Below are 19,560 nucleotides of genomic sequence, written 5' to 3' on the forward strand. Positions count from 1 at the left end.
TTAGTAGAGACGGGGTTTCACCATGTTGGCCAGGCTAGTCTCCAAGTCCTGACCTGCCTCGGCTTCTCAAAGTGCTGGGATTACAGGCGTGAGCCACCACGCCCTGCCAGGGGTGATATAAATATTTAAAAATGGGATTATGATAATGATTATGCATATGCAAAAAATATTAAAAGTCACAGAATTGTGCATTAACAATGGGTGAATTTTGTGATATGTAAATTATACATCAAAAAAGTTTATTTTTTTTTTATTTTTGAGATGTGGTCTCACTCTGTAATCCTCTGTCATCCAGGCTGGAGTGCAGTGGTGCAATCTCAGCTCACTGCAACCTCCACCTTCCAGGTTTAAGCCTGCCTCAGCCTCCAGAGTAGCTGGGACCACAGGAGTGTGCCACCATGCCCGGCTAATTTTTTTTTTTTTTGGAGACAGAGTCTCATTCTGTCACCCAGGCTGGAGTGAAGTGGCACAATCTCGGCTCACTGCAGCCTCTGCCTCCCAGGTTCAAGTGATTCTTTGCCTCAGCCTCCCGAGTAGCTGGGATTCCAGGCACCTGCCACCAGGCCCGGCTGATTTTTGTAGCGGCTAATTTTTTGTAGAGATGAGGTTTTGCCGTGTTGCCCAGGCTGATCTCAAGCTCCTGAACTCAAGCGATCCACCTGCCTTGGCCTCCCAAAGTGCTGGATTATGGGTGTGTACCACCACGCCTGGCTAATAAAGTTGTTTTTTAAAAAAACAAAAAGATTAAAAGTCAGGGCTGGGCACAATGGCTCAAGCCTGTAATCCCAGCATTTTGGGAGGCCTAGGCGGGAAGATCACCTGAGTCCAGGAGTTCAAGACCAGCCTGGGCAACATGGAAAGACTGCGTCTCTTTTTTATTTTTGGAGATGGAGTTTCACTCTTGTTGCCCAGGCTGGAGTGCAGTGGCGCGACCTTGGCTCGCTGCAACCTCCGCCTCCTAGGTTCAAGCGATTCTCCTGCCTCGGCCTCCCAAGTAGCTGGGATTACAGGCACTGCCACCATGTCCAGCTAATTTTTGTATTTTTAGTAGAGACGGGGTTTCACCATGTTGGCCAGGCTGGTCTTGAACTCCTGCTCTCAAGTGTTCCCCCTCCTCAGCCTCCCAAAGTGCTGGGATTACAGGCGTGACCCACTGTGGCTGGCCAGCTGAAATGTCTTTTGCCCATATCAGCCCCTCCCTCCTGCTTTCCAGTGTGCCCTGTGACAAGGCTTCACCCTTGCTCTGTTCACAGCAAAGCACGCACGGGCATCCTGACTGATCCTGGAGGTTTGAAATCACCTTTTAGTAAGTTTCTGCGTCCTCCACCTTACCAGCCCTTCATGTATAAGGTATTTATTGATCCTTTACTATGTGCTGGCTCATTTATAGCACATGGTGATGAACAGAATAGACCTGGTCCCTGCCATGGAGGTGACTGTCCAGTGATGATGGTGGCCACTAGTGCTGGAGCCACTGATGCCCTTTGCCCTTTGGCCCTACTACCATGAATCCTTGCAGTGACTCCTCTCCAGGCAAGGCACCATTGTGCTCTCCTTTCCCAGATGGGATCATCAAATGGTGAGTGGGAGCCGGGATCCCAGCCAGCCCCTCCTCATGTCACTTCCATTGGAATACTGACTACCAAGCCTCCCTGCTCAGGAAGCCTCCCTGCCTCGGATGAACTGTGTGCATCCCAAGCTGGAACTCAGCGGTCCCATCCTTTCAGTCTCTACTGGGAAAAGCTAGAGAATCCTTGGGCCATCAGGGAAAGGCAGACACATTTGCATAATAAATGAAAATCCTATCTGAGCTCCTGCCCTGCCTAGAGATTTACAATTCCCAAACAGTTCTGGGAAGGAAATAGAGAGAATGCTAGTGGGGGATGGGTACTGTAGACCAGGCTGTCTGGGCTGCCTGGAAGAGGCATCATTAGAGCGGACACTTGAAGGATGACACAGACCTGCCATGGGAAGGGTGTTGGAAAAGCATTCCTGGCAGAGGGAACAGTATATGCAAAGGTATGATGGGGACAAGGCCTGGCCCGTGCGTGTCAGAAGCAGATGGAAGGCCTGGGTGACTGGGCTGGCAGCACAAAGAGCCAATGGTGGGGATGAGGCCAGACAACGGGCAGGCCTTGGTCAGGCAGCGCCTTGCGGGCTGAGGTGTGGGGTTTGGACTTAGTTCCGAGAGCACTGGGAAGCTACTGGAGAGTTTCGGGTTTTTGTTTTCAGATCACGGCTCTCAGGCAGAGGGTGGGTGGAGACCAGGTAGGAGCCCATTTGATGAATCAGTGAGGAGTGGAAGGGGCCGGGAGGGAGGTGGTAATTCGCAGGTACACAGTAGGCACTCAATAAACTCCATCTACCTAGAGTTGAAATTCAGACATGCAGGTTTCAGGAATTAAATATGGGGGACCCTGAGGATGACTGCACCCCCACCCCACAAGTATCCATGACCAGCACTTGGCCATCTATCAGGGGTGGGGGTTCAGTTCTGTTTATTTTCAGTCTGTCACTCACCAAGACTTTTATAAAATACAACAAAAATGAATGACTTAGAAAAACAAAAGGGGGAGCCTGATGCAGTGGTGCACGCCTGTGATTCCTGCTCTGTGGGAGGCTGAGGAGGGAGGATTACTGGAGCCTAGGAGTTTGAGGTTGCAGTGAGCTATGATCCTGCCAGTGCACTCCAGCCTGAGTGACAGGCAAGATCCAGTCTCTTTTTTTTTGTTGGCGGGGGGGCCTCTTTTTTTTTTTTTTTTTTTTTTTTTTTGAGACTGAGTCTTGGTCTGTTACCCAGGCTGGAGTGCAGTGGTGCAATCTCAGCTCACTGCAACTTCTGCCCCCCACCCAGGTTCAAGTGATTCTCATCCCTCAGTTTCCCAAGTAGCTGGGACTACAGGTGTGCGCCCCCATCCCTGGCTAATGTTTTGTATTTTTAGTAGAGATGGGGTTTTGCCATGTTGGCCAGGCTGGTCTTGAATTCCTGACCTCAGGTGATCTGCCCGCCTTGGTGTCCCAAAGTGCTGGGATTACAGGTGTGAGCCACTGTGCCCAGCCGAAATCCAGTCTTAAAAAAAAGAAAAAGAAAGAAAGGAAAGAAAGAAAGAGAAAAAAAGAAAGGAAGGAAGGAAGGAAGGAAAGAAAAAAGAAAAGAAAAGAAAAAAGAAAAGAAAGAAAAAGGGCCGGGCGTGGGGCTCTTGCCTATAGCCCTTCAGGAGGCCGAGGCGGGAAGATCACTGAGCCTAGGAGGGGCAGCATAGTGAGACCCCCAGCCCAAAAAATAGAAAAAAAAAAAAAAAAAAAGAAGAAGAAAGCCCACTGGTGTAAATCAATTTAAAAATGTGGAGAGGGACAGTAGGATGCTAATGAGCAGCTGGGAAGGTGAGATGGAATTAGAAAGCAATCTTTGGCACTTGGCAAATCATCATGATGATGAGTTCAGGCAAGAATCATCAACGAATGCCACAGTGAGTGGGCCTCAGGGGTTGAATGGAAAGAAATGTCCACCACCTAATAAGGCCCTCGTGAAAGCAGCCTTATTTGGAAAAAAAATCTTTGTAAATGTGTTTAAGTTAGTGATCTTGAGATAAGGTCATCCTGGATAACTGGTGGCCCTAAATCCAATGACACCTATTCTTTTTTCTTTTTCTTTTTCTTTTTTCTTTCTTTTTTTTTTTTTTTTTTGATATGGGGTCTTGCTCTGTTGCCCAGGCTGGAGTACAGTGGTGCAATCTCAGCTTGCTGCAACCTCTACCTCCTGGGCTCAGGCAATCCTCCCACCTCAGCCTCCAGAGTAGGTGGGACTGTAGGCACACACCACCATGCCTGGCTAATTTTTTTATGTGTTTGGTAGAGATGGGGTTTTGCCCTGTTACCCTGGCTGGTCTTGAACACCTGAGCTCAAGCCATCTGCCCACCTTGGCTTCTCAAAGTGCTGGTATTACACTTGGTGAGCCACTATACTTGGTCTGACACATATTATTTTTATTTTTTAGAGATAGTGTCTCACTCTATCACCCAGCCTGGAGTGCAGTGGTGTGATCATAGCTCACAGCAGCCGCCAGCCTTGAACTCCTGGGCTCCACTGATCCCCTTGCCTCAGCCTCCCAAGTAGTTCTGACCAGAGACACACACCATCATGCCTATCTAATTTAAAACATTTTTTTTTCTTTGTAGAGATAGGGTCTTGTTATATTGACCAGACTGGTCTCAAACTCTTCGGCTCGAGTGATCCTCCCGTCTTGGCCTCCCAAATTGCTGGGATCCACCATGCCCAGCTGACATGTGTTTTTGTAAGAGATAGAAGAGACAGACACTTGACGAGGAGTGCCACGGGACCACAGAGGCAAAGACGGCGCGATGCAGCCGCAAACCACAAACACCTGGGGCCACCGGGAGCTGGAAGAGGCGAGGAGCTGATTCTCCCCTCGAGCCTTTGGAGGGAGCACAGCTCTGCTGAAACCTTGCTTTTAGACTCTGACTGCCAGAGCTGTGCAAGAATAAATTTCTGTTGTTGTAAGTCACCCAGCTTGTGGTGATTTGTTAGGGCAGCCAAAGGAAACAGAATGGATGTGGCCAGGAGTAGTGGCTCATGCCTGTAATCCCAGCACTTTGGAAGGTTGAGGCAGGTGGATCACATGAGTCCAGGAGTTTGAGAGCAGCCTGGGCAACATAATGAGACCCTGCTGCTCAAAAAAATAAAAAAACTAAAAATAAATAAATCAAAATAAGAAACTAATAGAGTGGGTGTGAAGTTGGAGAGCAACGGGATGGTTACATGGTCTCAAAGTACCTTCCCGCAGGGGAAGCATGGGAACTTTACAGTGGAGAATCCTGGCCAACGCCGTGAGCGTGTGAGCGGTGCTAACCTCGCCAGAAAAGGGACCCAGGCAGCGTGGGCCTCCTGCCAAGGTGCACCAGGAGCCAGGCATCTGGTCAGTCTGAGGTGCCTGCCTGAGGGCAGAGCTGAGTCCCACCCAGACCTGCTCCCTCCAAGGCATCGGGGTACTCTGCACGTCCCAGGCTTTGTGAACGTGCCTTCCTTTTGCACAGTGTCTCCCTCCCATCGCAGACATCTGGGGCCACAGGTCAGCCTTCTGAGAACGAGGCCGCTGGGAGGCACAAGTGCAGGACAGACACTGTTAACCATGGACAAGGGGAGGCGTTTGCCTTCCCTTTCTCTGTGTGCTCTGTGGGAGGGCTTCCTAGTAACCCCGCCAGCTTCTCCATTGCTCGGGGAGGAAGACAGAGGCCAGCTCATAGCCATCACCAGGTGCACTGGCCAGTAAGCAGCAGAGCTGGGCGTTTCATGAGGGCTGGGTCAGGCAAAAGCCTGTGCTCCCTCCACTCCGGGAGCACTGGGCCCTTTGGTAGGATGGAATGGTTCTCAGAAAGCCTTTCTTCTGTAAGCTGCGTTCAAGCCAGTAGGACAGAAAGATGTCTTTTGCAGCTAGGGGGTGAATCTTTTGAAATTAAAAATTTTTTGAGACAGGGTCTTGCTCTGTTACCCAGGCTGGAGTGCAGTGGCATGATCTCAGCTCACTGTAACCTCCGCCTCCTGGGGCTCAAGTGATTCCCCCGCCTCAGCCTCCAGACTAGCTGGGACCACAGGAGTGTGCCACCACACCTGGCTAATTTAAAAAAATCTTTTGTAGAGATGGGGTCTCGCTATGTTTCTCAGGCTGGGCTTTCAGCATTTAAACTACATCCAACTCACACCAGAAGGGATGGCTCACCTGTGATTGGGAACAACACTAAAGCTCACGTGTAGTTGCCCTGTCCATATTAATAATGTCCATGAAGTGCCAGTTTAGCTGTGCTACTTACACTTTTTTTCTAACTCACCTTAAAAGAAACATAGAACTGTTGGAATAAAAGTTAAAATAGCCATTGGAATACTACTTAAAAACATTCATGTGCTGGGTGTGGTGGCTCACGCCTGTAATCCCAGCACTTTGGGAGGCTGAGGCGGGTGGATCACCTGAGGTCAGGAGTTTGAGACCAGCTTGGCCAACATGGTAAAACCCCTTCTGTACTAAAAATACAAAAATTAGCCGGGTGTGGTGGAGTGTGCCTGTAGTCCCAGCTACTCAGGAGGTTGAGGCAGGAGAATTGCTTGAACCTAGGATGCAGAGGTTGCAGTCAGCTGAGATGGCACCACTGCACTCCAGGCTGGGTGACAGAATGAGACTCCATCTCAGAAAAAAATTCATGAATGCCGCTAGATGGCTGGTTCTCAAACTTGGCTGCACGGTGGAATCACCTGCAGAAATTTACAAAGCCCTGATACCTGGGCCCCACCCCTGCAGATTCTGATGAGTGGGTCTGGGTTGCGGCCCAGGGCAGTGGGGTTTAAAAAGCTTCCTCTAGGGCCGGGCGCGGTGGCTCGTGCCTGTAATCCCAGCACTTTGGGAGGCCGAGGCGGGTGGATCACGAGGTCAGGAGATCGAGACCACGGTGAAACCCTGTCTCTACTAAAAATACAAAAAATTAGCCGGGCGTAGTGGCGGGCGCCTGTAGTCCCAGCTACTCGGGAGGCTGAGGGAGGAGAATGGCATGAACCCGGGAGGTGGAGCTTGCAGTGAACTGAGATTGCGCCACTGCACTCCAGCCTGGGCGACGGAGCGAGACTCCGTCTCAAAAAAAAAAAAAAAAAAAGCTTCCTCTAGGGTTTCAATAGGCAGCCAAGGTTGAGAACCCTGCAATTGACAAACAGATGTGACCCAACGACAGATTTGGGGTCACATGCTACTGCCTTAGTAAATCTGTACAGCAGGAGGATGGAGAGGACCTCCCCTAAGCTTACCCCTACTCCCTGAAGTCTGCCTAAACTTGCCCGCCCACCCTGCCCTTTCCTTCTTGGACATACTGAACCACAGCATCACTTGCTAATTGCCTCCTGTGTGGAGGACTCGGCTCCCCAAGGAGAGATTGTAAGAAGGTGGGGGTGGCATCACCAGATTGTTGGGGGACAACACACACCACTTCGTGTTTTTCATTTATTTATTTATTTTTTTTGAGACCGAGTCTTGCTCTGCTGCCCAGGCTGGAGTGCAATGGCGCGATCTTGGCTCACTGCAACCTCCGCCACCCAGGTTCAAGCGATTCTTCTGCCTCAGCCTCTCGAGTAGCTGGGACTACAGGTGCCTGCCACCACACCTGGCTAATTTTTGTATTTTTAGTAGAGACGGAATTTCACCATGTTGGCCAGGCTGGTCTTGAACTCCTGAGCTCAAGTGATCTGCCCACCTCGGCCTCCCAAAGTGCTGGGATTACAGGTGTGAGCCACCGCGCCTGGCCAACACACACCACTTCTGAATCTGCCACAATGTGCAGCCCAGGCCCACAGTAGGAGCGTATTAAAGACGAAAGCTGGATGGTCATGAATTGGAGCTGTAAACTTGGCTGCTTCATGGGATTATTATGGACTCCCAGAAATGCCGATTATAACCTCAATCAAATGTCAAAAATGTCCCTGCTCAGGTTTCCTGATGCGTGGGAATCAACAGCATGTCAGGTATTATGGAGGACATGGAGCTGTTTTCTGCCCTGAGCTGTGACTGCAGGCACTGGGAAAGGGAAGATACGTTTCCTGCCTGGAGGAGGGGAGGATGCCAGGGGAGGAGGAGGATATTGGTGGTGATAGTGGTGACTCCTCCTGCTTTTTTTTTTTTTGAGATGGAGTCTTGCTGTGTTGCCCAGGCTGGAATGCAGTGGCGCGATCTCGGCTCACTGCAAGCTCTGCCTCCCAGGTTGATGCCATTCTCCTGCCTCAGCCTCCTGAGTAGCTGGGACTACAGGCGCCCACCACCACGCCCGGCTAATTTTTTGTATTTTTAGTAGAGATGGGGTTTCACCGTGTTAGCCAGGATGGTCTCGATCTCCTGACCTCGTGATCCACCCGCCTCGGCCTCCCAAAGTGCTGGGATTACAGGCGTGAGCCACCACGCCCAGCCCTTCCACCTGCTTTGATGGGGGTTCACTGTGTACAGGCTCAGTGCGAAGCCCCCTGCGTGCATTTTCTCACTGAATTCTCCTGTCCCCCACAAACTTGGGAGACCAAACTCTCACTCTCCACACTAGGCCAGGTGCTTCTGAGTGTGGAGGCATTTCACTGCGGTGCCTAGAATGGAGCCTGGTGTGTTATGGGTGCCCAGGAAACATTTGGAGAAGTGAACTATTCTCGGTAGGTATTTGTCGAATCAAGCTATGTTTCTACACATGGTCTGAAAGTGGCAGAAGAGGAGCACGACCTCTGGGTCTGCTCAGACCCCACTCCAGGACTTGCTTCAGTCCCTGACAGGCAAACGGGGATGCGGGGAAGGGAACCAGGCAGGAACTCCGAGAGAGCGCCTGGTGGCGGGGGCTGCGGTGCTGTTGGTGCCAGCCGTTGGAGTTGTAAGGGTTTACATTTCAACTCCTGGCTTTAAGTTCCCGAGACATGCAGGGACCAGGGCGCTGAGGGAGCGTAGGTGTCGAGGGAGGACTTTTGGCTAGGGCGAGGGTCATTTGTTTGGAAAGTCTGGCTCCTCATGGAATGGTGCACGTGGCCCAGAGAGAGTAAGAATGTGTTTCTGCCTTTCAGGGATTTATCAGTTGGAGTTGGGGGACTCCACTCAGGATTGTTATTTTCAATTTTATTATTTTACTTTATTTTATTTAATTAATTTATTTTTTGAGGAGTTTTTGCTCTTGTTGCCCAGACTGGAGTGCAGTGGTGCGATCTCGGTTCACTGCAATGGTGAGTTCAGGTGATTCTCCTGCCTCAGCCTCCCGAGTAGCTGGGATTACAGGCACGGGACACCATGCCCAGGTAATTGTTTTGTATTTTTTAGTAGAGACAGGGTGTCACCATGTTGGCCAGGCTGGTCTTGAACTCCTGAGCTCAAGTGATCCGCCTGTCTTGGCCTCCCAAAGTGCTGGGATTACAGGAGTGAGCCACCAAGCCTGGCCCGTTATTTTTAATTTTAAAAATCTCTAGATAAAAAAAAGTTAGCATGGTAAAAATATTCCAACAGAACCGAAGAGCTATATTTGTTGGAAAGTAAACTTTGATGTCCTCTCTGACCCCATCCTTCCCCCTGGAGGCAGCCACTGTTAACTGTTAACACTTTCCTTCCAGAAAGTCTGCACAAATATAAGCGCATGAGACAGACCTCTTCTTTCTTCTACAAAAGGGCACTTACTTTGCACACTCCTTTGCATTTTGCCTTTTTTCTTTCTTTAAAATAATAGCAGTTAGCCATTATAGCTCTATTATTTCCATGGTTGCGTGCTATTCTATTGTGCATATATAGCATAATTTATTGACTGTTTAACATCAGCATTATTTTTCTTTTGCTAATACAAACTATGCTGCAAAGAACCTACCTTTCACTCATCTTTCTGAACATGTGGAAGAATAGATGTACATTCTGTCACATAAACATACATATTATATAGTAGTAGGAGTTCTGGAATAAAGGGCATATGCTTTTAAAACTATTACAGTTATTGCCAAATTGTCCTCCTGAGAAATTGTATTAATGTTTATCGCAACGAATCTCATGAATATGACTCTTTCCCCATCTACTTTTTTTTTTTTGAGACGGAGTTTCACTCTTGTTGCCCAGGCTAGAGTGCAATGGTGCGATCTCGGCTCACCACAACCTCCACCTCCCAGGTTCAAGTGATTCTCCTGCTTCAGCCTCCTGAGTAGCTGGGATTACAGGCATGCGCCACCACACCCAGCTAATTTCGTATTTTTAGTAGTGATGGGGTTTCTCCATGTTGGTCAGGCTGGTCTTGAACTCCCAATCTCAGGTGATCTTCCCACCTCGGCCTCTCAAAGTGCTGGGATTACAGGCGTGAGCCACCGCACCTGGCCCCCATCTCCTTATAAACACTGCATTATCAAACTTTTTGGTATTTGTGAATCTAATGGGTAAAAATGGCATCTTCTTGTTTACGTGAACATTGACTATGAGGTTGAGAATTTTTTCATGCTTTTGTTTTTATTTTTGTGAGCTGCCTGTTTGTGTTTCTGGTCTTTGTTCTTTTTTTTCTTTCTTTTTTTTTTTTTTTTTTTGAGACAGAGTCTCGCTCTGTTGCCCAGGCTGGAGTGCAGTGGCGTGATCTCGGCTTACCGCAACCTCTGCCTCCTGGGTTCAAGTGATTCTTCTGCCTCAGCCTCCCAAGTAGCTGGGACTACAGGTGCCCACCACCATGTCCAGCTAATTTTTTATATTTTTAGTAGAGATGGAGTTTCACCATGTTGCCCAGTGTGGTCTCAAACTTCTGACCTCAAGTGATCCACCTGCCTTGGCCTCCAAAGTGCTGAGATTACAGGCGTGAGCCACCACGCTCAGCCTTTTTTTTTTGCTTTTTTTTTTTTTTTTTTTGAGACAGGGTCTCACTCTGTTGCCAGTGCAGTAGAGTGATTGCAGCTTTGACCTCTCAGGCTCAGGCAATCCTCCTACCTCAGCCTCCATACTAGCTGGGACCACAGGTGCATGCCACCACACTTTGCTAATTTTAAATTTTTTGTAGAGGTGGAATCTTGCTATGTTGCCCAGGCTGGTCTTGAACTCCTGGACTCATTTGATCTTTTTCTATTGGAATGTTTGTTTTTTAATATTGGTTTTAATATTGGTTTGTAGGAGTTTTTATATATTAAGCAGCTTAATACTTTCTCTATCTTACCATATTGGATGACACAGTCTGTTTTGGGGTCTTTGTGTAGTGATGGAGATGAGCCCAGAATAATACAGGATCAAAGGCCAGGGGGTCCCCAGTGCTGTGTGAATTTGCATGAGTCAGGAGAGGCTTTGTGGGGAGATGATGTGGAGATGAAGTTTTCTTTTCTTTTTTTTTTTTTCTGTCACCCAGGCTGGAGTGCAGTGGTGCGATTTGTGCTCACTGCAACCTCTGCCTCCCAGGTTCAAGTGATTCTCCTGTCTCAGCCTCCCGAGTAGCTGGGATGACAGGCACGTGCCACCAAGCCCAGCTATTTTTTGTATTTTTAGTAGAGATGGAGTTTCACCATGTTGGCCAGGCTGGTCTTGAACTCCTAACCTCAAGCGATCTGCCTGCCTCGGCCTCTCAAAGTGCTGAGATTACAGGCATGAGTTACCATGACTGGCCTGGAAATGAGTTTTAAGGGATGACATGGAGGAAAAGGATGTCTCAGTAGAGTGGATTTTATAAGCAGCGTGTCATGGAAGGAAATTGTGTGGGTTGGTGGAAGGTTGGGGAAATTTTAAATAATCCTGTCTTCTGGAGGTGAAGTGCTGGGAGGGGTGCCGTGGGGGTGAAATAGGATAACGTTGAAGGCCAGTTGAGGAGTTGGTTCAATTTCCTGTAGGCAGCAGGGAGCTGTGGATTTGAAGCAAATGATCGGATCTGTGTTTTAAGAACACTACACGGGTTGCCTTTTTAGATTGGATTGCAGGCAAACAAGATTAGAGAAGGAAAACCAGTTAGGAGACTATTGCAGCGAGGAGATGACAGTGGCCCAGGCAAGGTAATGACGTGGACACTAAAAACCATTTGTGCTTGGGAGGCAGGATTTGCAGAGATGGTGATTAGATAGGTGTAGAAAACAGTAATTCAGTTATGTTTCTCTGTGTGCAAGGGGAATTCACAAGACGTCAGTGGGCATGGGAGGAGGTGAGAATAGGGCCAAGTTGTGGAGAGTTGGAGGGAGGATGTTCGATGGTCCTCTTCACAGTCAATGATGTTCCAAAGATTCCTGACTCTGGATTAGACATCTTTTGGGATGTCTGCCCAGCCTACACCTTCTCTGAGACCTGCCCTCCTTTCCACAGGTGTGGGCTCTTATTGCCAGGTGATGCTGCCTCTCTGTGGATCCCTGGCTCAGGTGCAGAATCCTGACCCAGTGGACACTGACGCAAGCTTCTATTTTGGAAATCTGGAATCTGAATGTGGATACACTGGGTCAGTTGGCTACAGGACCAGGGCTCAGCTGGCTTGTCCTGCGAGCTCCGGGTGGCTGTGTTTGTGCTGTGTGTGACTGGAGCAGAAGCAGCAGAGAGGGATGAAGTGAAGTCCCTGGACAGAGATAGGCAGGAACCTCTGGTTCAACAAGACAGATTGAACCTGCCTGACTAACGAGGCAGTAAAGGAATGAAAACATGTACATTCACTAGGGCAGGAACAGGAAGGGGAGATGACAGCTCTTCAGAGATGTCAGAAAGTTTGGAAGAAGGAAAGCCGATGGACAAACGACAACGGGTTTATTTTTATTTATTTATTTTTATTTTTTTGAAACAGGGTTTCATTCTGTCGCTCAGGCTGGAGTGCAGTGGCGTGATCTCAGCTCACTGAAACCTCCGCCTCCCGGATTTAAGAGATTCTCCTGCCTCAGCCTCCAGAGTAGCTGGGATTAAAGGCACCTGCCACCATGCCAGGCTAATTTTTGTATTTTTAGTAGAGATGGGGTTTTACCATGTTGGCCAGGCTGGTCTCAAACTCCTGACCTCAAGTGATCCACCCGCCTAGGCCTCCCACAGTGCTGAGATTATAGGCATGAGCCACTGTGCCTGGCCTGAATGCTTTTAAAAGGGACAGTTAGACTCCCAGATCTTCCCCATCACTTTGGTCAGCTAGGCATCTACCCTTTTCCATCCCAAGAAAAGACAAACTAGGATTTCCTCTGAAGGCTGGAATCAGGGGAACCTGGATTTAGAGATTCCAGCCTAACTGTGGCTGCAGGTCATGCCCTGAAAACGGAATTGCAGGAAAGTCTACTTATAAAGCAGCGAAATGCTGGCATCTTCCTGGCTCAGCTTCTAGAATGCTGGTGGCCAGGGGCCTGAGGCTGGAGGATTCTTCTCAGGTAGGGTTGCTGGATAAAATACCGGATTCATTGTTACATTGGATTCAGATAAGCAACAGATACTTTTTTCTCGGCATAAATATGTCCCCCAAATTACAAATTTTTATTAGTAAAATCTGGCAATGCTGTTCAGAAGAAACTAAGGCCCAAGAAAAAAGTGCTAGGGGTGCCAACCCTGGTTCCATTCCCAGTTAAATGCTTTAATCCCTTCAGCTCCTACCCAGAGGCCTGAGAGTAAGCCTGGTCCATGTCCCCGCTGGAGCTTCCAATAAGCATTTGAGAGTCTCGTCTTTAAATGTGAACAAATAGACAAGATCACCCAATGGAAAAACAAGCTAAGGTTTGGCCAGTGGGGGTCCAGAGGTCCATCTTGCTTCAAATCTCTTCCATAGCTCCCTGCTACCTACAGGTGGCTAATGCCTGTAATCCCAACACTTGGAGAGGCTGAGGTGGGAGGATCACTTGAAGCCAAGAGTTCTAGACCAGCCTGGGTGACATAGTGACACTCCGTCTCCACAAAAAAAAAAAAAAAAAAAAAAAATTAGCTGGTTGTGGTGATGTACACCTGTAGTCCCAGCTACTTGGGAGAAGGAGGGTGATTGCTTGAGCTCAGGAGTTTGAGGCTGCAGTGAGCTATGATTGTGCCACTGCACTCCACTTTAAGAGATGGAGTGAGACCCTCTTTTTTTTTTTTTTTGAGACGGAGTCTCGCTTTGTCGCCCAGGCTGGAGTGCAGTGGCACCATCTCGGCTCACTGCAACCTCCACCTCCTGGGTTCACGCCATTCTCCTGCCTCAGCCTCCCAAGTAGCTGGGACTACAGGCGCCCGCCACCACGCCTGGCTAATTTTTTGTATTTTTGGTAGAGACAGGGTTTCACCGTGCTAGCCAGGATGCTCTCGATCTCCTGACATTGTGATCCACCTGCCTCCGCCTCCCAAAGTGCTGGGATTACAGGCGTGAGCCACCGCGACTGGCCCGAGACCCTCTTAAAAAAAAAAAGAAAAAAGAAGGAAAAAGGAGCTCAGAGGATGCGGGGAGAATGTAGAGAGCCGAGGAGAGCTCCAGAGACACAGAGACAAGAGACCAGCCTCAGAGGCTGACCACCAGCCTCCTGCTTGCTCCTCAGTTCTCCACTGGTGGAGTCCCTCTCCTTCCTGTCTCTGGCTTCTGGGATAGAGTCCTCTCTGCTCAGAGAACCCCCTGGGGGTTTAAGCGCTGCAAATGTGTTTCCTTCTCTTCTGACCAAAGGGTTCTTCTGTACCATCACTCAATAACTCCCAACCAGGATGTGCCTGCCTGGACCCCCATCGTGCTCATCCTGAGCAGCTTGGAGGAAGAGGCCTCCCCTGGGGCAGCAGTCGACCCAGGGTCTCTGCCAAATGACCCTGGCAGCTGCGGCCCCCTCGTGCCCCAGGAGTCAGGGTCCTGTCTGGAGGCTCCAACCAAAAGCTGGCCCGGGTCCCGACTGCCCTCTCAGCTGGCAGAGGATGGAGCCATTTGGCTCCGCTTCTGAAGTGGGCGCCACGAGCTCACGCTTGGCTCGTGCTCCTCACCGATGCTCTCTCTGCTCGGCCTTGCTGAGCCAGGCGGGGTTCTGGCTTCAGTGCTGCGTCTTCTCTCCTCCATGAACAGAAATCCCCGAAGGTCAGCGGTCTTGAGTATAATCGTCTTCAGATATCTGAAGAGCCGGTGTGAACAGCCGTTCAACTCAATTGCCCCACTTTTCATCGAGCATTTCCTCTCTGCCTGCACGACTGAGGTCTTCTCTGATTTTTTTTAGTAATTCATATTGATTTATTTTATAAGTTCTATTGCTTCTATTGATAATTTCATTAATTAATAGAAAATTAAGATGAGGTCATTTTGGTAGCACAAATATTGAAATAGAGTTTTGAAATAGTATGATCAACTAATTTATCGTCGTCACCAGGACTTTTTGATAGTGAAACTGGGCTCTTTTACTAATTATGTGGGGAAAACAGGTATAAACGGAGACTGTCCCATGCAAACTGAAATATATCATCACTATTGAGAGATGACTTGCTCAAACCTTAACATCCCATTTATTTCCGAATTTGTTTTAATGATGGAAACAAGGGAGGGAATCTGAGTCACACAGGGAGTAGCTGCAAATGGTAACAGGTTTTTTTTTTTTATGCTTGCCTTTTTTATTTTTTGTTTTGAGATGGAGTCTTGCTCTGTCGCCCAGGCTGCAGTGCAGTGGCGTTATCTCAGCTCACTGCAGGCTCCGCCCCCCGAGGTTCACGCCATTCTCCTGCCTCAGCCTCCCAAGTAGCTGGGACTACAGGCGCCCCCCACCTCGCCCAGCCAATTTTTTGTATTTTTAGTAGAGACGGGGTTTCACCGTGTTAGCCAGGATGGTCTCGATCTCCTGACCGCGTGATCCGCCCGCTTCGGCCTCCCAAAGTGCTGGGATTACAGGCGTGAGCCACTGCGCCCGGCCCGAATTTGTTTTAATGATGGAAACAAGGGAGGGAATCTGAGTCACACAGGTAACAGGTTTTTTTTTTTTTTTTTTTTTTTTTTTTTTTTTTAATGCTTGCCTTATAATAGTAGTTCTCAATCTTAACTCACCCAGGGCCGGGTCTGGCAAACTACAAGGTCCAGCTGCAGTCTGTTTTTGTAAATAAAGCTTTATTGGAACACAGCTGTGGCCACTCATTTACCTTCTGTCTATGGCTGCTTTCGTGCAGCACAGGGATAGCTGATGAGCTGCACTGGAGACAGGACAGTTCACTTCTAGGATATTTAGTATCTGGCCCTTTATAGAAAACATTTTCTCTCTGAGCGTAGTGGCTCATGCCTGTAATCCCAGCACTTTGGGAGGCTGAGGTGGAAGAGTGACTTGAGCCCAGGAGTTTGAGACCAGCCTGGGCAATGTAGCAAGACACCCACCTCAATAGATACAATAGATAGATTATAGATGATACATTGATTAAATGTTTGCTGTCCCCCAACGTTGGGAATGTAAAGAAATTCCAGTGTCTTACTCCCAAGAGACTCTGATATAATTGCCCTGTGGGACAGCCTGAGCAGCACTGAGTCTTGCCGTGACATCCAGGCTGTAGTGCAGTGGCGCGATCTCGGCTCACTGCAACCTCTGCCTCCCGGGTTCGAGCAATTCTCCTACCTCAGCCTCCCAGGTAGCTGGGATTACAGGCTACCATGCCTGGCTAATTTTTGAATTTTTAGTAGAGACGGGGTTTCACCATGTTGGCGAGGCTGGTCTCAAAATCCTGACCTCAAGTGATCTGCCTGCCTCGGCCTCCCAAAGTGCTGGGATTACAGATGTGAGCCACTGCACCCGGCCAACACTGGCAGTTTTAACAGTGCCTTAGGCTGACAGCTGGGTACAATGGTGCATGCCTGTAACCCCAGCTACTAGGAGGCTGAGGCAGGAGGATCGCTTAAGCCTAGGAGTTTGAGGCTGCAGTGCACTGTGATTGTGCCTGTGAATAATCACAGCAACCTGGCGACAGAATGAGACCCTGTCTCAAAAAATAAGAGTGTCTTAGGTGATTCCACCACGGAGTCAGTGGTCAGCACTGAGAACCAGGATATTAAAGCCAAATTCGGCCAAAGGTAGTGTCTCAACATGTGCCCCCATACCATTCATTCTTTCCGTGTCAGGTAACACGTGGGTGATCTTCAGTGTTTTAAATCTGGGAGAGGGGACACATGGGTTTTAATTTTTGTTACATTTTGAAAATAGTTATAAGATTTACTTTAAAATAAAACTTGAGCTGGGCGTGGTGATGGGTGCCTGCATTCCCAGCTACTTGGGAGGCTGAGGCAGGAGGATCATTTGAGGTCAGGAGTTCTGGGCTGAAGTGTGTTAGCTATGCTGATCTGGTGTCCACACTAAGTTCAGCATCAAATATGTTGACCTCCCAGGAGCAGGTTGCCTAAAAGGAGGGGTGAACACGCCCAAGTTGGAAATGGTGCAGTTCAAAACTCCTGTGCTGATCAGTGGTGGGATGACGCCTGTGAATAGTCACTGTACTCCAGCCTGGGCAACATAGTCAGACCCCATCTCAAAAAAAAAAAAAAAACCAAAAAAAACAACCAGACAAACAGACAAAAAATTGAACTTGAATCGAAGACTTGGGGTGGACTTACCTGGTTTAGTCTCCGCATAGCCCTCTGGGGACTGGATTCCACTTTTCCTTTTACAGGTGAGGAAATGGAGCCCCTGTGGGGTTGAAGGACTTGCTCCAGGCTGCACAAAACCTCAGGCTGACTCTTTCCAAAGCAATGCTTGACTTCTTGGGAGGGTTTTTAATTTTTTTCCCCAACACCCTCCTTTCCTTGACAAGCTCCTGAATATCAGAGAAGGCCAGAGAGGATGGTGTCCTGTGTTCCTGAAGGCAGGAAGTGTTTATTGAGCCCCTACTAGCTGCAGAGCTAGGCATGAAACTGTCACAGTGAACAGAAAAGGGCCCTGCCTTATGGAGTTGGACGTCCACCGTGGCAGACAGGCCCCGCGGGGAGTTTGGGTGAAAAGTCGTTGAATGTCAGGCAAGCAGCGGCCCCGGTGCTGCTGACCTTGTCTGGGAGGATCAGGAAAGTTTCCTGGGGAAGAGGCAGGGAGATCTGAGCTGAAACATGGAGGATGAGGCTGTGGCTGCCTGTCTTTAGTGCATGGAAGAGAATTCCTGGCAGAGGGAATAGCACGTGTGAGGACCCAGCTGGGGAGTCCAGGGCTGGCACCTGGAGAGCTCTGGGAGGGGCTCTAGGTGGAGCTGGAGAGGGCAGAAGTGGGAGGGAGGAGGGAGGCAGGTTCCGCACCACCCCCAGGGGGTTAAATTAGACTGGTGAGTCAAGATTCCAAGAAGACGAATGGCTCTCCTGCCAGAATTTTAGGCAACTCCACATTCCAAGACAGCCCACAGCTTCCTCTAACAGCCACGCTGTTCCCAGCCCTGGTGGAGGAGGCAGGAGCCGGCCACTAGCTGGGACACTAGGTGAGAGGTTAGGCCTCAGGTTGGCATCTGGGTCGGATGACAGAGTCGGGTGGAGGAGTCCAAGACACTGGAGACCCTCAGGCCCAGGCTCAGGGTTCCCAGTCCTGCACCTGTTACCTGTCTGCATTTGCGTCCTTGGGAAACAAACTTTGAATCAGAGATTTATGTGCAGGCAGTTTAGTGGGGCGTTTTCTCAAGAGCTGCACCTGTGAGGGAGGGTAAGCAGCTGGGCTGCAGTGCTGAGGTCTCGGCTCTTCCTCATGGGAACTCTGAGCCAGGTGGGCGCTTAAGAGATGTTCCCAATCAATCAAGGCCAAAACTTATCTACCAGTCATCAGACGCAAGCTGTCCCTCAGGGAAGGGGCCACGGGATCAGATGAGGCAACTCTGAGGCTGAGGGCAATTCCTGGGGAGTTGCTTGGCTGTGAGCTGCCAGCTCCCGCTCCCAGCAGCCACAGGAATGGAGTGTCCTGGTCTGGAAGGGTGGATCTGCAACCACAGCATCCACTACAGCAGCTGTGTGACCTGGAGCACACAGCCTAACCTCTCTGAGCTTCCTTTAGGACCACAGCATCCGCTACAGCAGATGTGTGACCTGGAGCACATGGCCTAACCTCTCTGAGCTTCCTTTATGCAAAATGCAGTCACTGGGCTGTTGGAAGGATTCAGAATATTGCATATAAAGCACCTGGCCCCAGTCTTGAGCTCCAGGAAGCACCCAGGAAGTGTTTGTTTAGTTGAAAGGATCAGTGAATGTGTTGCTTCATAATGAGAATGAGTCTGAGAACCCCCTTTCTGGTGAAAAGATCACGGGCCCAGGAGTCAGGAGAGAGTGGTCGCTTCCAGCAGTAACTGGTTGTGTGACAGAAGTATGATAAGACCGTAGGCTTTACATTTAGCTCTCTGGGCGTTAAATTCTTTATCTTGTAAACAGGGATAATGACACCTGTGCCACCTTCTCCTAGGCTATCTCCTCCTCGGTGTTGGGAAACTGAATGGAGATCGTGCGATGGGAGGTGAAAGCTTTGAAAGGGAAAAGATATCATCAGTTTCTACAGGTGGGGTGGGCGTGGCAGCAGGTGGCAGAGCAGGAAGTGGCCTAGGTGAGCCAGAACCCTGGTCAGGCGTGAGTGCAGCCCTGCACCCACATAAGCTCACACGTTTGCACAGGCTCCCTGGCACATGCATGCCCCTGCATGCATGTACACACAATCATGTGTACCCCAGTAATGCACCCACTCACAACCACCAGAGCAAAACAAAGACAAGGAGTGGAGCTGTCTGTGGTGCACCTGGGGCCCCAGCTCCCCTCCCAGCCCATGACTACACTGTGGAGGGCTGAGGAATGGGGTTGCTGAGAAGGAGCCCAGGCTGGGGGCCATGTGCATGCGGGTCAGGCTGGCAAAGCCGTCTGCCTGCCTCTTGTTTTAGGCTGCCAGGCTGGGCAAAGGCCACGTGCTCGGTGGAAGAGCCCAAGCCAATGTAAATGGGCCCCTTTGGAAGTAGGGCTCATCTGGAGAGCAAGCAAGCAAAACAAGCTTAGCTTTTCATTTAGGGACCGTCACAGAAAACTCGGAAATGCACCAAAGAGTTAATGGTATTTGGCGCTGATCAGTGGCATTGAGGGTGCTTTCTATTTCCGTCCCTTTGATTCCACTCATTTTTCTATGTCAACATGCATTAGCATTGAATGATTATCAGGATCGTCAGTGTGGGTTGGCTGAAGATATTTGTT

The 19,560-nt window shown here is 49.5% G+C and overlaps 1 pseudogene, besides 2 other annotated features; it reads left to right on the forward strand.

The window, feature by feature from the left end:
• Positions 5,902-6,403: an enhancer, noted in NCBI's record as "H3K4me1 hESC enhancer chr20:55252755-55253256 (GRCh37/hg19 assembly coordinates)". NCBI's record gives its function as "activates a minimal SCP1, AML or CMV promoter by ChIP-STARR-seq in naive H9 embryonic stem cells {active_cell/tissue: H9 hESC(naive)}" and the evidence as "EXISTENCE:reporter gene assay evidence [ECO:0000049][PMID:30033119]".
• Positions 16,604-16,898, forward strand: RN7SL170P (RNA, 7SL, cytoplasmic 170, pseudogene; annotated as a pseudogene).
• Positions 18,494-19,089: an enhancer, noted in NCBI's record as "H3K4me1 hESC enhancer chr20:55265347-55265942 (GRCh37/hg19 assembly coordinates)". NCBI's record gives its function as "activates a minimal SCP1, AML or CMV promoter by ChIP-STARR-seq in primed H9 embryonic stem cells {active_cell/tissue: H9 hESC(primed)}" and the evidence as "EXISTENCE:reporter gene assay evidence [ECO:0000049][PMID:30033119]".

Source organism: Homo sapiens, chromosome 20 (genome assembly GCF_000001405.40).
Source record: "Homo sapiens chromosome 20, GRCh38.p14 Primary Assembly".
In the NCBI taxonomy this organism is placed as follows: Eukaryota; Metazoa; Chordata; class Mammalia; order Primates; family Hominidae; genus Homo; species Homo sapiens.